Source organism: Homo sapiens, chromosome 3, assembly GCF_000001405.40.
Source record: "Homo sapiens chromosome 3, GRCh38.p14 Primary Assembly".
In the NCBI taxonomy this organism is placed as follows: domain Eukaryota; kingdom Metazoa; phylum Chordata; class Mammalia; order Primates; family Hominidae; genus Homo; species Homo sapiens.
The window spans coordinates 194,213,971-194,229,807 of record NC_000003.12 but is presented as its reverse complement, the minus strand read 5'-3'; the positions used below and the strand labels follow the sequence as shown (position 1 = coordinate 194,229,807).

General features: G+C 46.0%; 1 long non-coding RNA gene across 1 annotated transcript in view, besides 1 other annotated feature; it reads left to right on the top strand.

Moving 5' to 3' along the window:
- LINC02036 (long intergenic non-protein coding RNA 2036) overlaps positions 1-15,837 on the top strand; it is a 47,138-nt gene that overhangs the window by 20,346 nt on the left and 10,955 nt on the right. The window lies entirely within an intron of this gene.
- Positions 14,763-15,566: an enhancer, noted in NCBI's record as "H3K27ac-H3K4me1 hESC enhancer chr3:193932031-193932834 (GRCh37/hg19 assembly coordinates)". NCBI's record gives its function as "activates a minimal SCP1, AML or CMV promoter by ChIP-STARR-seq in primed H9 embryonic stem cells {active_cell/tissue: H9 hESC(primed)}" and the evidence as "EXISTENCE:reporter gene assay evidence [ECO:0000049][PMID:30033119]".

Sequence of the window (15,837 nt, the reverse complement as noted above, 5' to 3'; positions counted from 1 at the left end):
TCCTGGTGACTAGTATGTTTAGCATCTTCTCACGTGCTTCTTGGATGTTTGTGTATTTATCTTCTTTGGAGAAATGTTTATTCAAATTCTTTGCACAGTTTAAAATTGTGTTATTTTTCTTTTTATTCTTAAGTTACAAGAATTCTGTTTATATTCTGGATAAAAATCCCCTATCAGAAATATGGAGAAAATGCAAGCATTTTCTTCCATTCTGTGGGTTGTCTTCTTACTTTCTTTATGGTGTCTTTTGATGCACAAAAGTTTTAAATTTTGATGAGGTCCGATTTATCTATTTTTTCTTTAGTTGCTTGAGCTTTTGGTATCCTATCTAAAAAATCTATTGTCTAGACCATGGTCAAGAAGATCTACACCTTTGCTTTCTTCTAAAAGTTTGATAGTTTTTGTTTTTATATTTAGATCAGAGTCTGTGTCACATGGAAACATCTAGGATAGGGAGACTTTGCTGACTTAAATGGTATGAACATTTTGATATAGTCCAATTGCTTTCCAAAGTGGTTGCACCAATTTGCATGCTTATTAGCAAATGAGAGAGCCCATTTCATTGTATACCGTAAAGCTTTTTTAAGTTTCCTATTAATCTTGTTAGACTAGATATGACCAAATTCATGCTATGGATCCCCCAACTTTACCTTTCATTCTTTTCTGACCAAAGTTTCTTAGGCATTAAGGTATTCAGCGATGAGTAGATATTTCTTGTGTCATCATAACTGATGTAACTGACTAAAATTGAGATAGCCATAGAATGATTTAACTCGTTGAAAATAAACATCTACTGAGCATCTGTAGAGGGTGGGGGGAAGGGTGGAGGGGAGGGAAAGAGGGGATGGGGGTGCAAAGATGAATGAGACACAACCCTTAGTACGGAGAAAACTTACATTTGTAAGGAGCACTTTCACAGCTGTGTGCCTGGGGATCCTCTCAAACAGCCCTGGTGTTACGTAGACAAGATGCCATGCCTGTTGTAATGGTGAAGAAATTGGCTCAGAGGTCAAATGAACTGTGCAAAGTCACATGGCTAATGAGGGAAAAGAGTCAGTCAACCAGTATTTACTGAGGACCCCCTGTGTGCCATGCATGCGTCTAGAGATACAGTGATGAAAAAGGGGCCTCCATTCTGGTTGAGAAGAGACAGGCACAAACAGTCAAGAAATAGATAAAGAAGAATTGCATGAGGTGGGTGGAGGGATACGGTTTTGCCTAGTGTATTAGTTAGGGTTCTCCAGAGAAACAGAGCTAACAGTGCATGTATAGATAGAGAGAGAGAAAGATTTATTATAAGGCATTGGTTCATACAATTAAGGCGGCCAAGAAGTCCCACAAAGCCAGCAAGCTGGAGGGAGACAGTGTAGTTCCAATCTGAGCCTGAAGTCCTGAGAACTAGGAGAGCCAGTGGTGTAAGTTGGAGTCCAAAAGCCAGCAGGCTTAAGACCCTGGAGGAGCAGATGATTCTGCTGGAGTCTGAAAGTAGAAAAAGACTGATGTCTCAGCTCAAGGAAGCCAGGCAGAAGAAAATTCTTTCTTAAGGGAAGTCAACCTTTTTGTTCTATGCAGGCCTTCAGTTGATTGGATGAAAGCCACTCACATTAGGAAGACCAATCTGTTTTACTCAGTCTATCAATTCAAATTTTAATCTCATCCAAAACACCCTCCCAGACACACCCAGAAAATGTTTGACCAAATATCTGGGCACCCCATGGCCCAGTGAAATTGACATATACAATTAATATCACACCTAGGATTGGTGAAGGCTTCACTGAAATAGTGACATTTGAACAAAGAAATATGAATATTTGGGGAAGAGCTTTCTAGGTAGAGGGAATAGAAAGTTCTGAGGTGAGAACAAACCTGAATACTTTAGGAACAGCAAAAAGACCAGTATGTTTGGAAGAAAATAGCAAGGAGAGGATCAGAAAAGGAGGAAGTTGGCAGGGCTGGATTGCATGAGGTTTGTAGACCATGATTAGAAGTTTGCACTTCGGCCGGGCATGGTGGCTCACACCTGTAATCCCAGCACTTTGGGAGGCTGAAGCAGACAGATTGCTTGAGGTCAGGAGTTCGTGACAAGCCTGGCCAACATGGTGAAACCCCGTCTCTACTAAAAATACAAAATTAACCAGGCGTGGTGGCATGTGCCTGTCATCCCAGCTACTCAGAAGGCTGAGGCAGGAGAATTGCTTGAACCCGGGAGGTGGAGGTGGCAGTGAGCCAAGATTGTGCCACTGCACTCCAGACTGGGCAACAGAGGGAGACGCTGTCTCAAAGGAAAAAAAAAAAAAGAAGTTTGCACTTCATTCTAAGTAAAGTGGAATGGCTTTGGAGGTATATCAGAAAGATCAAGGTGATTAAAATGAAAAGAGCACATCATGTATGTGGACAGGGAGACCAGCTACAAGGTCAAGATCATGGTACCTGGAAGTAGGGTTGGGGCTCTAAAGGTGATGAGGGTCAGAGGTTGGACACATTTTGGAAGCAGGACTTGTAGAATTTGCCAGTGAATTCAAAGTGGGATGTGAGATTTATGGCAAATCAGATATTACTCCTAGATTTTGGTCTGAGTAACTAGGTGGATGTTGGTGCTACATTTTTCAAGATGGAGAATTTTTGCTGGGGCTTTGGAATGAGAAATGGAGTTTTGGAGAAAATCAGAAGTTATCTTTTGGCCTTGTTAATTTTGGGTTTGTTACCTCTGACTAGAACCCAGGCTTTCTGTCTTAGTCTGTTGGGGCTGCTGTAACAAAATACCATGGACTGGGTGGCTTATAAACAACAGAAGTTTATCACAGTTCTGGAGGCTGCGAAGTCCAACATCGAGGCACTGGCAGATCAAGTGTCTGGTGAGGATCCACTTCCTTATAGACAGGTTTCTTTTTGCCGTAACCTCACGTGGTAGAAGGGGTGAAGGAGCTCTCTCAGGCTTCTTTTATAGGAGCAGGAATCCCATTCATGAGGGTGCCACCCCTCATGACCTAAGCGCCCAGCAGAGGCCCCACCTCCTAACACCATTGCTTTGGGAGTTAGGATTTCAACATATGAATTGGGGTGGGGGGTCATAACCATCCAACCCATTGCATATTCTGACCAGAACAGGTGTTTTTCCTACAAAGATACACTATTTATTCTTTCAAAATATATTTATTGAGCCCCTACTATGTGCAGAGCTTGGTCTTAGATGCTGAGAAAACAGCACAGAACACAGCAGGGGCATTATCGCTAACGGTGCCCCACAGAACCAGCAACTCCGTGTTGAGGCTCTGCTATGTACTGGGCATTGTGCAGAATACAAAATGAGTCAGACACATTCCCGGTGCTCCAGATGCTTTCAACTTAATTGGACAGTTTAGGCAGAGAGACAAGTAACAATTGATAGCCATGAATGAGTTCACAATACACTTATTGAGTGCACGCTATATTCCAGGCACTGGGCTAAACATGCTACATGCTGAGACTACAAAGATGAGTTAGAATACATTCCTGTCTCTCAAAAGCTCACCTTCACGTGGAGGAGAGACTTAGGCAAGCCCATGATTTCAGTTCCATGTGGTCGAGGTAGGACAGTGTGGAAACACACGTACGATGCTTAGCCGAGGCTACTGTCTGGCATTAGGGGAGACTACCCAGAAGAGGTCACACCTCAGCTGTGTCTTGCAGGATGAGGCAGACCAGAAGAAGATTGATGGCATTCCTCGCTAAGGGGACAGCTGCGAACAGGACAGTTAGGGGTTTGGGGACAGGGAGCAGAACTGAGGGGCTCAGGATTTACCCTGTAAGCGACAGGGTGCTGCTCCTGAGTGCTCAGCAGAGGGTGGGCTGTATGAATGGGTGGGCTTGTGTTGTATAGCTTCATATATGTGGATAACGGGCGGTTGAGGAGGAGGTATGGGGAGACTGGAGGTGGCAACGCCCGCTGGGAGGATGTGCCCGAGGATGACAGCTAAGAGAGAAAGATGGGAGCCTGAGATGAATGACTAGTGGGGTTCAGTGGGGCAAGTGAGAGCTCTACGATCCTGCTGACCTCAGCAAGCAGGGAAGGTTTCACTAGGGAGGAAGGGTGGAGAAGACTGGAAGGGAAATTGGAAGAAACTGGACCTAAAGTAGTTCAAGAGGTTGTCAGAGAAGGTTGAAGGAGGGGTGTGATCCATGACAATAACCAATAGACACTCCCCTCATTAGTCAACGATCCCTGATGTCATTTAATCCTCACAGCTGTGTTGTGGGCTAGGCACACACCCCATTTCAAAGGCAAGAAAATGAAGGGTCGGAGAGGTTGAGTACTGTGCCTATGGTCGCAATGCACAGTGGTGTGGGTTTTCAGGCCCTCACTTTGTTTTACTCCTTGTTGTCCGGTGATGTGGGTTAAAACTGAGGCAATGCCACCCCAGGGGCCACAGTCCCAGCCTTCTCACAGCCCAGCGGCCCCTCCCTCCAGGGACTGTGCGTTGCCCTCCCCCAAGGCTCCTCTCTTGCATTCCCTGAGTCCTGGCGGCGGGGCCTGGCAGCCGTCAAGCTCATCGCCTCTGAGATCAGAAAGGCTTGCAGGTAGATGCTGGGGGCTGTAAGTTGAGGAAACGCACACAGGAGCAGTTAAAGTGGCACAGGGTGCTGAGCCTGCCTTTAATGGTTTGCAGCTGCAGCAAGCACCAGCTTCCCCCGTGGGCTCTGCCCTGCTGCGGGGGCTGGCTGGCTGTATTTCGCATCCTGACCAATTAGATCCCCATGTGTGCTGCAGGCGTGAAAAAATAGAAAGTGAATAATCCTTCATTCGCCTCTGCATGGCGAGCAGCTTTGATCCTCTTGGTGAGGTGGCCCTGTTCCATCAGAAAGTTCATCTCTTCTCAGCTTCCTTATTTTTTTTAAACCCAGTTTCCTTGTCTCAAAATGACATTAACCTCCACCCAGAGACCTATGAAATGACCACGATTCATCTTCAGACCCTTCTGATCAAAGCTGGGTTGGATTTTTTTTCTCCCTCTCTCTTTTAAACTTCCGCTGCACAGTCCCTCCTTTCTAATATTGGTTCGGTGCCAATGTTTCCAGGCTGAAATCAAAAGGAATAGTCTATTAATATCAGGCTTCTGTAACAAGGCCACCATTGTTTGCTTCATTTCAGAGTACCTATGGTCTTCTGGTGAGAAAGAGAGAGAGATCAGGAGCCTGTGTGTGGAGCCCGTGTGTGTCTGTGTGTGTGTGCGCGTTTGCATGTGCATGGGTGTGTGTGGTTAGATAAGTAATTTCAAAATGAGCAAAAATAGAAGGAGTCGATCCTGGTTCATTTCAAATGTATGCTAAATCTCAGTGACTCTGGCTATAGATTAAAATACTGATCACCCGTTTTGTTTTGGAAGCATCAAGGTCCTAGAGGCATATTTGGTTAGAAGACCTATCTTAATGCTACAGATTAGGTGGTGGTGGAGCTGCTGCTGGAAGTGGTGTGGACGTACGGGCAGCGGAGGAGGAGTGGAGAGAGGAGCAGCTGGGGGTGTTGCTGGAGGAGGAAGCAGAGCCGGGGCAGTGGGGCTGGTATGGGTGTTTGTGCAGAGGAGGTGGAGGTAGGGGGGGTGGGGTGCTGGAGGGGAGGGGGTTAGTGGTGTTGGTGTGGAGGGCATGAAGAAGGTGGTGGAGGTGGCAGCGGCAGTGAAGGAGGAAGTAGAGGAGGCTTGGAGGGGCTGAGGGAGGTGGAGAAGGAGACAGTGGAGACAGGGGTTGAAGGGTGCTGGTGGTGGAGGTGTGGAGGAGATGGAGGAGGAAGTGGAGGGGGTGGTGGTGGCAGGAGAGGAGGAACTAGAGGAGGGGATGGAGAGGATGAGGGAGAAAAGAGTGGTGGGGGGAGATGCTGGGTGAAGTAGAGTTACTGAAAACAGAACACACTGCTGTCCATGTTTCCTTCACCCCGTCCCAGTGATCCCACAAGCTGGGAAGACTCAAAAGGTTATCCCGGAAATCGCAGGGCAGGTTTAGGGTGGTCACTCCCAGCCGAGGCCTCTTTGAGTAGCCCTTGTTGGAAGCAGCTCTGCCTGGATCAGAAGCGCATAGACATAGGTTTATGACACAAACTATGACAGTGTAACCCTTCTGGAAGTGGCGGGCGGGGTGGGAATCACCTGGGTCATCTGAACAGAATGTGTTGGGGATTTGTGAGTGAACTGCATGGTTCAGGGAGAAAAGTGAACTGGAAGTCCCCAGGGCCTGGGTGCCAGCCCTGCCTCTGCTGAACTGTGCAGACTTCTCTGCTTTATTTTCCAGTCTCCCATTGTGTGAAATGAGGTTGTTGAATTAGGAGTGCCAGCTCTAACAGACACTCTGTTTCTGCCTAAGAGAAATTATGTAACCATTAGAGCTTTGCTTGAGGTCGTTCCTGGACTTTTAAGGATAGAGACCAGCCTGGACAACAGGGTAATCATGGTCTGCCTGACTCTGGGCCACTAGAGTTGATTTTCCTTTCTCAAACACAGTTCTCCAGACCACAGATGAACCACCAAGGAGGGTGGAAGACGTGCGAGGGAAAACCTGAATGCTATTTTCCAGCATTAATTCTCATTCCCCAGAAAAGCAGAATCTGAAGGTGCCTTACAAACAAACAAGTAAATAAATTAATCAATAAAAGGGCATTCTTGGACAAACTCAGAGGGAAAGGGTCCCTTTTTCTTGGTTTTGTCTGCTTGAGGGCTGGTGCGGAACTGCTCTAAAGCTTTGTTAATGACCCACGGGTGATGGGTCTGGGTGGTCAGTGCTGCTGCAGAGAGACACGCGGGATATAGCAACCTTGGCAGCTTAGTGAAAGCGGCAAACACCCCTTCTGTGTCCTGCGGCCTCAGCTACCTAAGATCCACAGTGATTGCACTAGGTTGTCTGGAAGAGGGTACGGGATGCTCAGAAGCCTCTGTTCAAGAAGGAGGCAGCTCTTGTAATCCCAGCACTTTCGGAGGCCAAGGCGGGCAGATTACTTAAGGTCAGGAGTTTGAGACCCGCCTGACCAACATGGTGAAACCTCATTTCTACTAAAAATGCAAAAAAATTAGCCGGGCGTGGCGGCGTGTGCCTGTAATCTCAGCTACTTGGGAGGCTGAGGCAGGAGAACCGTTTGAACCTGGGAAGTGGAGGTTGCAGTGAGCTGAGATCGCGCCACTGCACTCTAGCCTGGGCAACAGAGCAAGACTCTGTCTCAAAAAAAAAAAAAAAAAAAAAAGGAGATGGAAGCAAATGTTGCATTTTTGGTTGTCCCCTCTTGTTGAAATGCTACTTTGCACTCTTTTGCCTGTTTGGATCCTTCTTGTCTCTCAGGTTGTAGTATTTATTTATTTATTTTTGAGACAGAGTTTCACCCTTTTGCCCAGGCTAGAGTGAAGTGGCACGATCCTGGCTCACTGCAACCTCTGCCCCCTGGGTTCAAGCAATTCTCCTGTGTCAGCCTCCTGAGTAACTGGGACTACAGATGCGTGACACCAAGCCTGGCTAATTTTTCTATTTTTAATAGAGACGGGGTTTTGCCATATTGGCCGGGCTGGTCTCGAACTCCTGACCTCAGGTGATCCACCCACTTTGGCCTCCCAAAGTGCTGGGATTACAGGTGTAAGCCACTGTGCCCGGGCTCAGGTTGTAGTTTAAATGTCCCCCCTTCAGAGACACCTTCTCAGACGATCAGACGGGAACACAGTCCTGCTGTCGCTTTCTTTCATTGCATACCACGCCGTCCCTGCCAGGTGCATGCGTCACAATTGGTAATCATATGTTTATTCGTCACCTGTGTGATGTTTGTCTCCACACCAGTCTATTTGACCCACGAAGACGGGTGCTACCAAGACGAGTCTATTTCTTCCGTTCCGCACGTTCCACTGAGTGCCCAGCACATAGCAGGATGAATGGATAAGTGAGGGTGGTTAGCACAAAGGAGTTTTTGTGCTTGAAGGGGAGAATGTGAGCCAGGTGGGAAACCTAAGTATATGGAAGGAAAAGAAGACCCAAGTCTAATCAGCTTTAAAAATAACGATGCTTACCTTAGCACCTCAAAATAAGCCTTGCACAAGGGCTTCCAGGACAGACATGGGGCTCCCCAGTGTCCTGAGTGGTCTAGGTACATCCCAGCCCTCTGCTCTGCCATCCTCCTAATCACACAAGGGGGCAGCTACAATTCCAGTGACACGGGCTGACCCAACCACACCCAGTGAGGAAGAGGAAATGTGCTCTTTTATTAGAGAGGAAAACATTTGCAGAAGACTCTTAGCAGGTTTCCACTCAGGCCAGCTCCCTTGGCCAAGATCGGGTTCTACTTCTATGCTCCAGCTTCAAAGAAGATTGACAACAGAGTACTGGCATTTCGATCCTCTGGGGTGGGAGATGGGCTTCACCAACAAGCAAGCAAGCAGGGGCAAGGCGAGGACAGTCTTGTGTATGGGGAACAACAGCTGTGTCCACTGCACCTCCTAGATTAGGCCCTGGAGACCCCATGGTTGGAGGCAGACTTACAGACAGCAGGAGGAAGAAAGACCATACCATTTTACCAATTAAAGAAAAAAGTCCAGATTGTAATCATTCCATGATTCATTGCTGTGAGTAATGGTAAACCTTCGACATTCAAACACGCTAAGGAATTCATTAGATGTCTGCTGTGAAATTAGCATCTGAGAGGTTAGACCTGGGCCAGCTTCCTGGAAGACCAAGTTAAAGAGGTCCCTGTGCTAATACAATGAGCGTCGCTCGTCCACTGCTGGGTGATGAGACTTGAGAAGAACCGGAGGCCTCTCCTTCTCATCCCTACGCCCAGCCTTGGCTGAAGTTCGAAATCCTCTTAGACTTCAGAAATTCCTCAGTTATTGTGTGTTCCTTGGGCTGCATATCTGGCCACTTACTTGGCATCTCCACTGGGCTAACAGACCTCTTGAGCTTCATGCATCCAAACCAACTCTTGGTGACCGCACCACCACAAATGTGCCGCTTTCCCAGTCTTCTCCATGTTAGTAAATGTGCCACAATCACCTACACTGAAGCCAAGATTGAAAACATCCTTGGCCGGGCACGGTGGCTCACGCCTGTAATCCCAGCACTTTGGGAGGCCCAGGCGGGTGGATCACCTGGGGGTTCAAGACCAGCCTGACCAACATGGAGAAACCCCGTCTGTACTAAAAATACAAAATTAGCCAGATGTGGTCGCACATTCCTGTAATCCCAGCTGCTCGGGAGGCTGAGGGAGAATCGCTTGAACCTGGGAGGCGGAGGTTGCGGTGAGCCGAGATCACCCCACTGCACTCCAGCCTGGGCAACAAGAGCGAAACTCTGACTCAAAACAAAAACAAAAACTAAACAAACAAACAAACAAACCAAAGAATGTCCTATCTGACTCCTCTCTGTCCTTCACAGCGCACATCCAGTCCATCAGCAAGACACGCCAGCTCCACCTCTCCAACACACCCCACAGGAGCCCCTTGCTGCTTCCCTGCTCCCCACCTAGTCCCGAACACTCTTCTCCGGGCTGGGCCACACCAGCAGCCTCTTGATTTGTCTGTCTGCTCTTGCATCCCCACTCCTAGGCCATTCTCTACATGGCAGCCAGCGTGGTTGTTTTGAAATGTGAGAAGATCACATCACTCCTCTACTTAGAAACCTCCAATAGCGGCTCCCTGATACCCATAGAATAAAATCCAGTCATCCTCACAGCCTGCAAAACCCTCTGTCATCTGCCCTTTGCCCACCTTACTGACCGTACAAGCCTCATGTGCTTTGCTCCAGCAGACTGGCCAGTTCCTCTGGGCCGTCTGCTGGAATATTGTCCCCAAGAACTCTGCAGGCTGGCATGTTCTTCCAATTCAAGCTCAGCTTACACGAGGCCTTCTCAGAGAAGTCCTCTCTAACTCCCGATCAAAAATAGCACTCCGGCCTCTAACTTCTTACCATATTTTATTTTCTTCCTGACACTGCATTATCTAAAACTAATTGATTTGCTGGTTTATCTTTATGATCTGTCTCTGGCAACAGAATATGTGTGGCACAAGGGGCTTATTTTGCTTGTTGTTTTACCCTGGGCACTAAAACAGTGTCCACATCTGTGAGTGCTCAGTGAACATCGGCTGAACAGGATGAATCTTAAAGCCTTCAACTATCATGTTAAAAGACGAAACTCTTTAGAATAAGAGAGAAAGCAATCATCTTTTCTTGGGCATTGGAAATACTGAGACACTAGGGGACAGAAGGCACCAAAAATTTAGATAAGAGGGGCTTGTGACAATATTGAAACAGGTGAGCTTGAGAGGATCAAGGAAGGACAAGGGTACTTGTATGGACAGGTGGGAATTTGGTCTTGGTCTGTCTATGATGAATTTGGACACTTAGAATGACAGAGTCAGAAGAAGAAAGTCACTCAAAGATCTGTCTGGAGTCCTTGGCTTTTAGCATGGGCTTGACCACCAACTCTCTCTGGAATCTCAGGCAAGTTGTTTAGCCTCACTAAGCTTGGGCTTCTCAGGGCACTGGGCTGTGTGATCGCTGAGATTTTGCCAACTGTGATTGTTCCATGCTCATTCGCCCATGGTTCATTCAGTTACTCAGAAAGTATAACGTGAGCACTGTGCTCCTGAAATTGTGCTACGTGCTAGGCATGCAGCAGAGGACAAGGCTTCTTAGTCCCTCTCTTCATGGAGCTTCTAACACAGGAGACGAATAGCAAGTAATTACGCAGATAAACACGTCAGTTCAAATGGTGATGGGAAGGGGAAGTGAAAGGTGCAATGAGAGTGTAGAAAGGGGTGTCTTATGGGGATTGGAGGGTCAGATAAGCCTGTTCTTAAAAAAATGATATTTTCTTCTGTTTACAAATGTTCAAGCTTTGGGGGAAGGGAATAAGGTAGCTTTGGAGAGAGTTTCTGGCTGGGGCTCTGGCAGCCGGCTGTGCATTTGAGCAATGCTTCCCCGCCCCGCACAGTGACAGATTCCAAGGCTCCTTGTACATGATGTGGTGGGCCCTCCTGGAGTCAGGCGGGGAGCCCAGCAGGTTATTCCTCGGCCAGGGGTGGGGTGGGGAGGAGAAGTTTTTGATAGTGTGAAGAACCATTTTCTTCTGTGTAGCAGGTGAAGGTGAAACTGGGCGTTATCAACTTTTTATGCCAATTCCCTGACCTCACCCAGCCAAACTCCTATCAGTAGGCTGAGCACATAGAAGGGAGGAGTTGGGGGACCGCCTACTTACCTATTTTGTAATGCATAGAAATCTTAGTACATAAATTTATTTGTGTGAGAAATACCACTTTCTTTTGTTTAAAATGATCTTAAATCCTTCGTTATGCTCCCATCCTTCCAGGTGAAGGAAATTAGATTCCAGCCACGACTGAGGTCCTCTCCTCTGCTTCCCACACCGGGTCCCAGGGGAGGCTGAGAGCCCCTGGCCCTCCTACATGTGGCCTTCCTAAGGCACCATGGAGCTGTGCCTTGCGGGTCCTGCCACCTCCACCAACAAAACTCCAGGGCCCCCCTCCTAGGCTGGGAGAAATTTCTCATTACTCTTCGGTCCTGGGCTACTTTAAAAGGTCCATCTAAGACACTCAGCATCATCTCTGCATTTTGGTGTCTACAAAATACAGCAAGAGATTTAATTTTCAGGTAGCATTTTGCTTACTGTCCTACAGAAACCCCTGAGGCAGGACTGTCTAACTCTGTGGAGAGCTTGTGAAAATTCAGGAAAAACACACACAAGTCAGTACTTATTAAAAAATTATGGCTGGGCATGGTGGCTCATGTCTGTAATCCCAGCACTGTGGGAGGCCAAGGCAGGTGGATCACCTGAGGTCAGGAGTTTGAGACCAGCCTGGCCAACATGGTGAAACCCCGTCTCTACTAAATATACAAAAATTAGCTGGGCATGGTGGCACACACCTGTAATCCCAGCTACTCAGGAGGCTGAGGCAGGAGAATCGCTCAAACTTGGGAGGCGGAGGTTGCAGTGAGCCGAGATCACACCATTGCACCCCAGCCTGGGAGACAGAGAAAAACTCGGTCTAAAAAAAAAAAATTATTCTGCCATAGCAGTGGGACTCCACAGTCAGGGAAAACCTGCGTTTTTCTGAGTCCTGGCTTTGCCTGGGCAAGTGGCCACCTCTTTCAGCCTCATTTTTCTCATCTGTAAATCAGAACATCGTAGAGATTCCTTCGTGGAATTGTTATGAGAATTTAATAAGATTGCCTGCAAAATATTTAACACAGTGTCTGGCACATGGCAAATGCCCAATAAATGTTATCTATGATTCACAGATACATTATGTTAGTGATGGTATAAGACATACTATTCACTGTTGCCCTCCAGCTTAGAGATCATATATAAAGGCTTTGCAGAGGGTGGTCCCCCCGTGCCACCGAGCCCTTCCCCTCTTCCGCCCACTGGGAACGGGGCTTGGTGAGGAGGGCAGCATTTTTCATCCTCCTTGAAGAACAGGTGCAAGTCTGGTCAAGATTTCTCTCCATCAGCTTCTTGTCAAACCTGTAAAAAATGATCTATCCTCCTCGGAAATTCCTACTTACTGCGTGGCAGCTTCTAAATTATACCTCTCTTGCTCAGATACATTTTTTTCCCTTTCCTCTACTGCCCTGCCCCCGCTTCTCCTCCAAAATACTACAAGTAAATATCATTTATATTGATTTTGTGAAGCTCCCTTCCCACCCATTCCTATCCCCTGAAAGTCTGGGAAGTCAGCCTCTGATTATATGTTTCCTAAGGCTGAATCCAATTTTTGTTTGTTATGGAAACATTAAATCTTTTTTAAAAAGTCTTAAGTCTTTGGGACAAATATTCGTATGGACTATTTTTTCTATATATATATATTATATATAATATATATTATATATAATATATATTATATATATATTTTATATATATTATATATTTTATATATATTATATATATTTATATATTTTATATATATATAAAATATATATATAGGTGTGGACTATTTTATATATATAGGTGTGGACTATTTTATATATAGGTTTGGACTATTTTATATGTATATAAAATATATATTATATAAATTATTATACATATTTTAAAATATATAAATATATATATTTTATATATATAATACATATATATTTGAGACAGAGTCTTGCTCTGTCACCCAGGCTGGAGTTCAGTGGCACGATCTTGGCTTACTGCAACCTCCACTTCCTGGGTTCAAGCAATTCTCCTGCCTCAGCCTCCCTAGTAGCTGGGAGTATAGGTGCCGGCCACCATGCCTGGCTAATTTTTGTATTTTTAGTAGAGGTGGGGTTTCATCATGCTGGCCAGGCTGGTCTCGAACTCCTCACCTCAGGTGATCTGCCTGCCTTAGCCTCCCACAGTGCTGGGATTACAGGCGGGAGCCATTGCACCCAGCTGCGTGGACTATTATTTGTGCACAGACTGATGACAGAAGAGGCAAGGCCTGGAGTTTAGTGAGGGTTTTATTGAAGAGGAGCGGGGAGAGGGAAGAGGCAGCATTGGGAGAAAGGGAAAAGGAGAAGGGTTGTTTCTGGGCTTGAGGCAGAGAGAGACAGAAGAGGTAAACAGGGATGAGGACCTGAGAAAATTAAAGAAAGCCAGTTGCCTGTAGGTTTCTGAGGTTCAAATCAACAGAACAACTCAATGTCTGAAAAGAATGAATGCTTATATCCAGCTTGTTGATCCTACTATGCAGCTAATCCTTGAATGAAATTTCCTGGGTCTGTGTGTAGGTTTTGAAGACGCAGTCAAACCATCCATTAACGCCATTTTCCTTGCACGCACTTTTTTCATTTCTTTCTAACATTGAGTCAGTCACCCTGTAGACTTGAATAGATGATCTCCGCATGTACTTTCAAGAAACAAGAAATACTACCGACCTTGTTGGTTTCACTGATGGTGTGTTTGAGGGCTGGTTTTATTCAGGGCCTGAGATGCAGTAAGTATTTCATAGTGGAGGCTTTATAAATGTGTCTGAATCAAGTATAAGAACAATCCTGGGTGGGAGCTACTATTTTTCTCTTCTTTAGATTGTGGAAAGTGAGGCTCAGAGTAGTTACTAATGTGGTCTGTAAGTACAGCAGCTGGTGTTCAAACTGGGTCTGGTTCAGGCTCACTTTTGAATCTTGTCTATCTCGCTAGACAGGACCAGGATTATCTCCCCAGCGTTCTACCACCTTCTCTGGCTTTCACGCTGTCAATGTTTGTGATACCAATTCCTCACGCTCCCTCCCTTTCACAGCTGCATCCACTCAAGACATTGCCCCTCCCCTCACCTGTGAACTTCCTTAACCTCTTGCTCCACCTCTCAACGACCCACAGAAGGGTCAGAGCATCCCAGGTATGCTTCAATTATGACTTGGCCTGACAGCCTCCCAAGGACGTTGTTAACCCTTTGACAACAAACACAATGTCTTACTTTGCAATCAAATTCATCAATGACTTTTGAATTTGAGTTTCTGTGTTTACCAAAGTTACACATCCACATAATTTGGAGAGTCAAATAGTCCACAAATGTTGTCCCTAATATGCTTGTGTTTCTGTTTTGATTTTTTAGTTTTAAGCATTAAATCTTGAATTCCCACCATGAAAGATGAGTTTAGCTTTTTCTTCTTGTGCCGTGGCCTCCCCTCATATACACACTCTTTCACTCCATATCCTCCCACTGTTATTATATACTAGTATCGCTTGTTCATCATTCTTTGTTTCCATATGAAAATATAAACTAGGTTTATAACTGTGCCCTGAAGTACAGTGTGATTGCCTTTACTTTCCTGGAGTTAGTAACTGTCTTATTTTTCCATTTGTTTTGTTTTTTATTATTGTTGGTTTTTGTTTGTTTGTTTTGAAATGGAGTCTTACTATGTTGCCCAGGCTGGAGTGCAGTGGCTTGATTTCGGCTCACTGCAACCTCTGCCTCCTGGGTTCAAGCAATTCTCCTGCCTCAGCCTCCCTAGTAACTGGGATTACAGGTGCCCACCCCCATGCCTGGCTAATTTTTGTATTTTTAATAGAGGTGGGGTTCCACCAAGTTGGCCAGGTTGGTTTTGAACTCCTGGCCTCAAGTGATCCACCCACCTCAGCCTCCCAAAGTGCTGAGATTACAGGCGTGAGTCCATTTGTTTTGTTTTCATTGTATTAAGTAATAATAAAGGTTCAAACTCTGCCAAAGTTCTAAATCTCCTCCTTGGTGATGTAGATGATCAGGTCTCCTATCGAATTTGTCTTTCTGCTGAAGCCTGTCCCAGGGCTGCGCCCTGCAGCATGTGGGCCAGCTGCCCTCCCTATGCACTGGGCATGTAGCCTTCCTCTGGAGAACCCTGCAGCCTCCCAGGCATTGCCTTCACCATCCTTCTGTGTTGGAGCTCCTGGCTTCCAAAGCCCTCGCCTTCCTCCTTCTTGGTTTACCTTCTTATTTGTGAGGAGCTCATTTTCCAGTAATGTCACAAGAAAGGGGCATATGGCCTTGTTTTTAAAATCTGGGTATCCCCAGCATGCTCAACAGATGTTTGCTAAATTAATGAAAGAATAAAAGCAGAAAGGACAACAAGGAAACATCAGCAGAGATAGATGGCATGATCACACATTGAGATTAAAAGGAAACAACACATTCTGATAATCTGATGTTTAGATAATTGACCTAAGCTTTTAATTTATGATTGACATCAGCAATAATAAAAGTTCATGAGAACACCTGGATTTAGAGAACTCATCTTTTCAAATGGCAGTCTGGCATAGGAAAGAATATCGGCCGTGAATGAGTTATTTAACCTTGCTGTGTCTTGGCTTCTTTGTTCATAAAAATAGGAATGCTAGCCGGGCACGGTGGCTCACGGCTGTAATTCTAGCACTTTGGGAAGCCA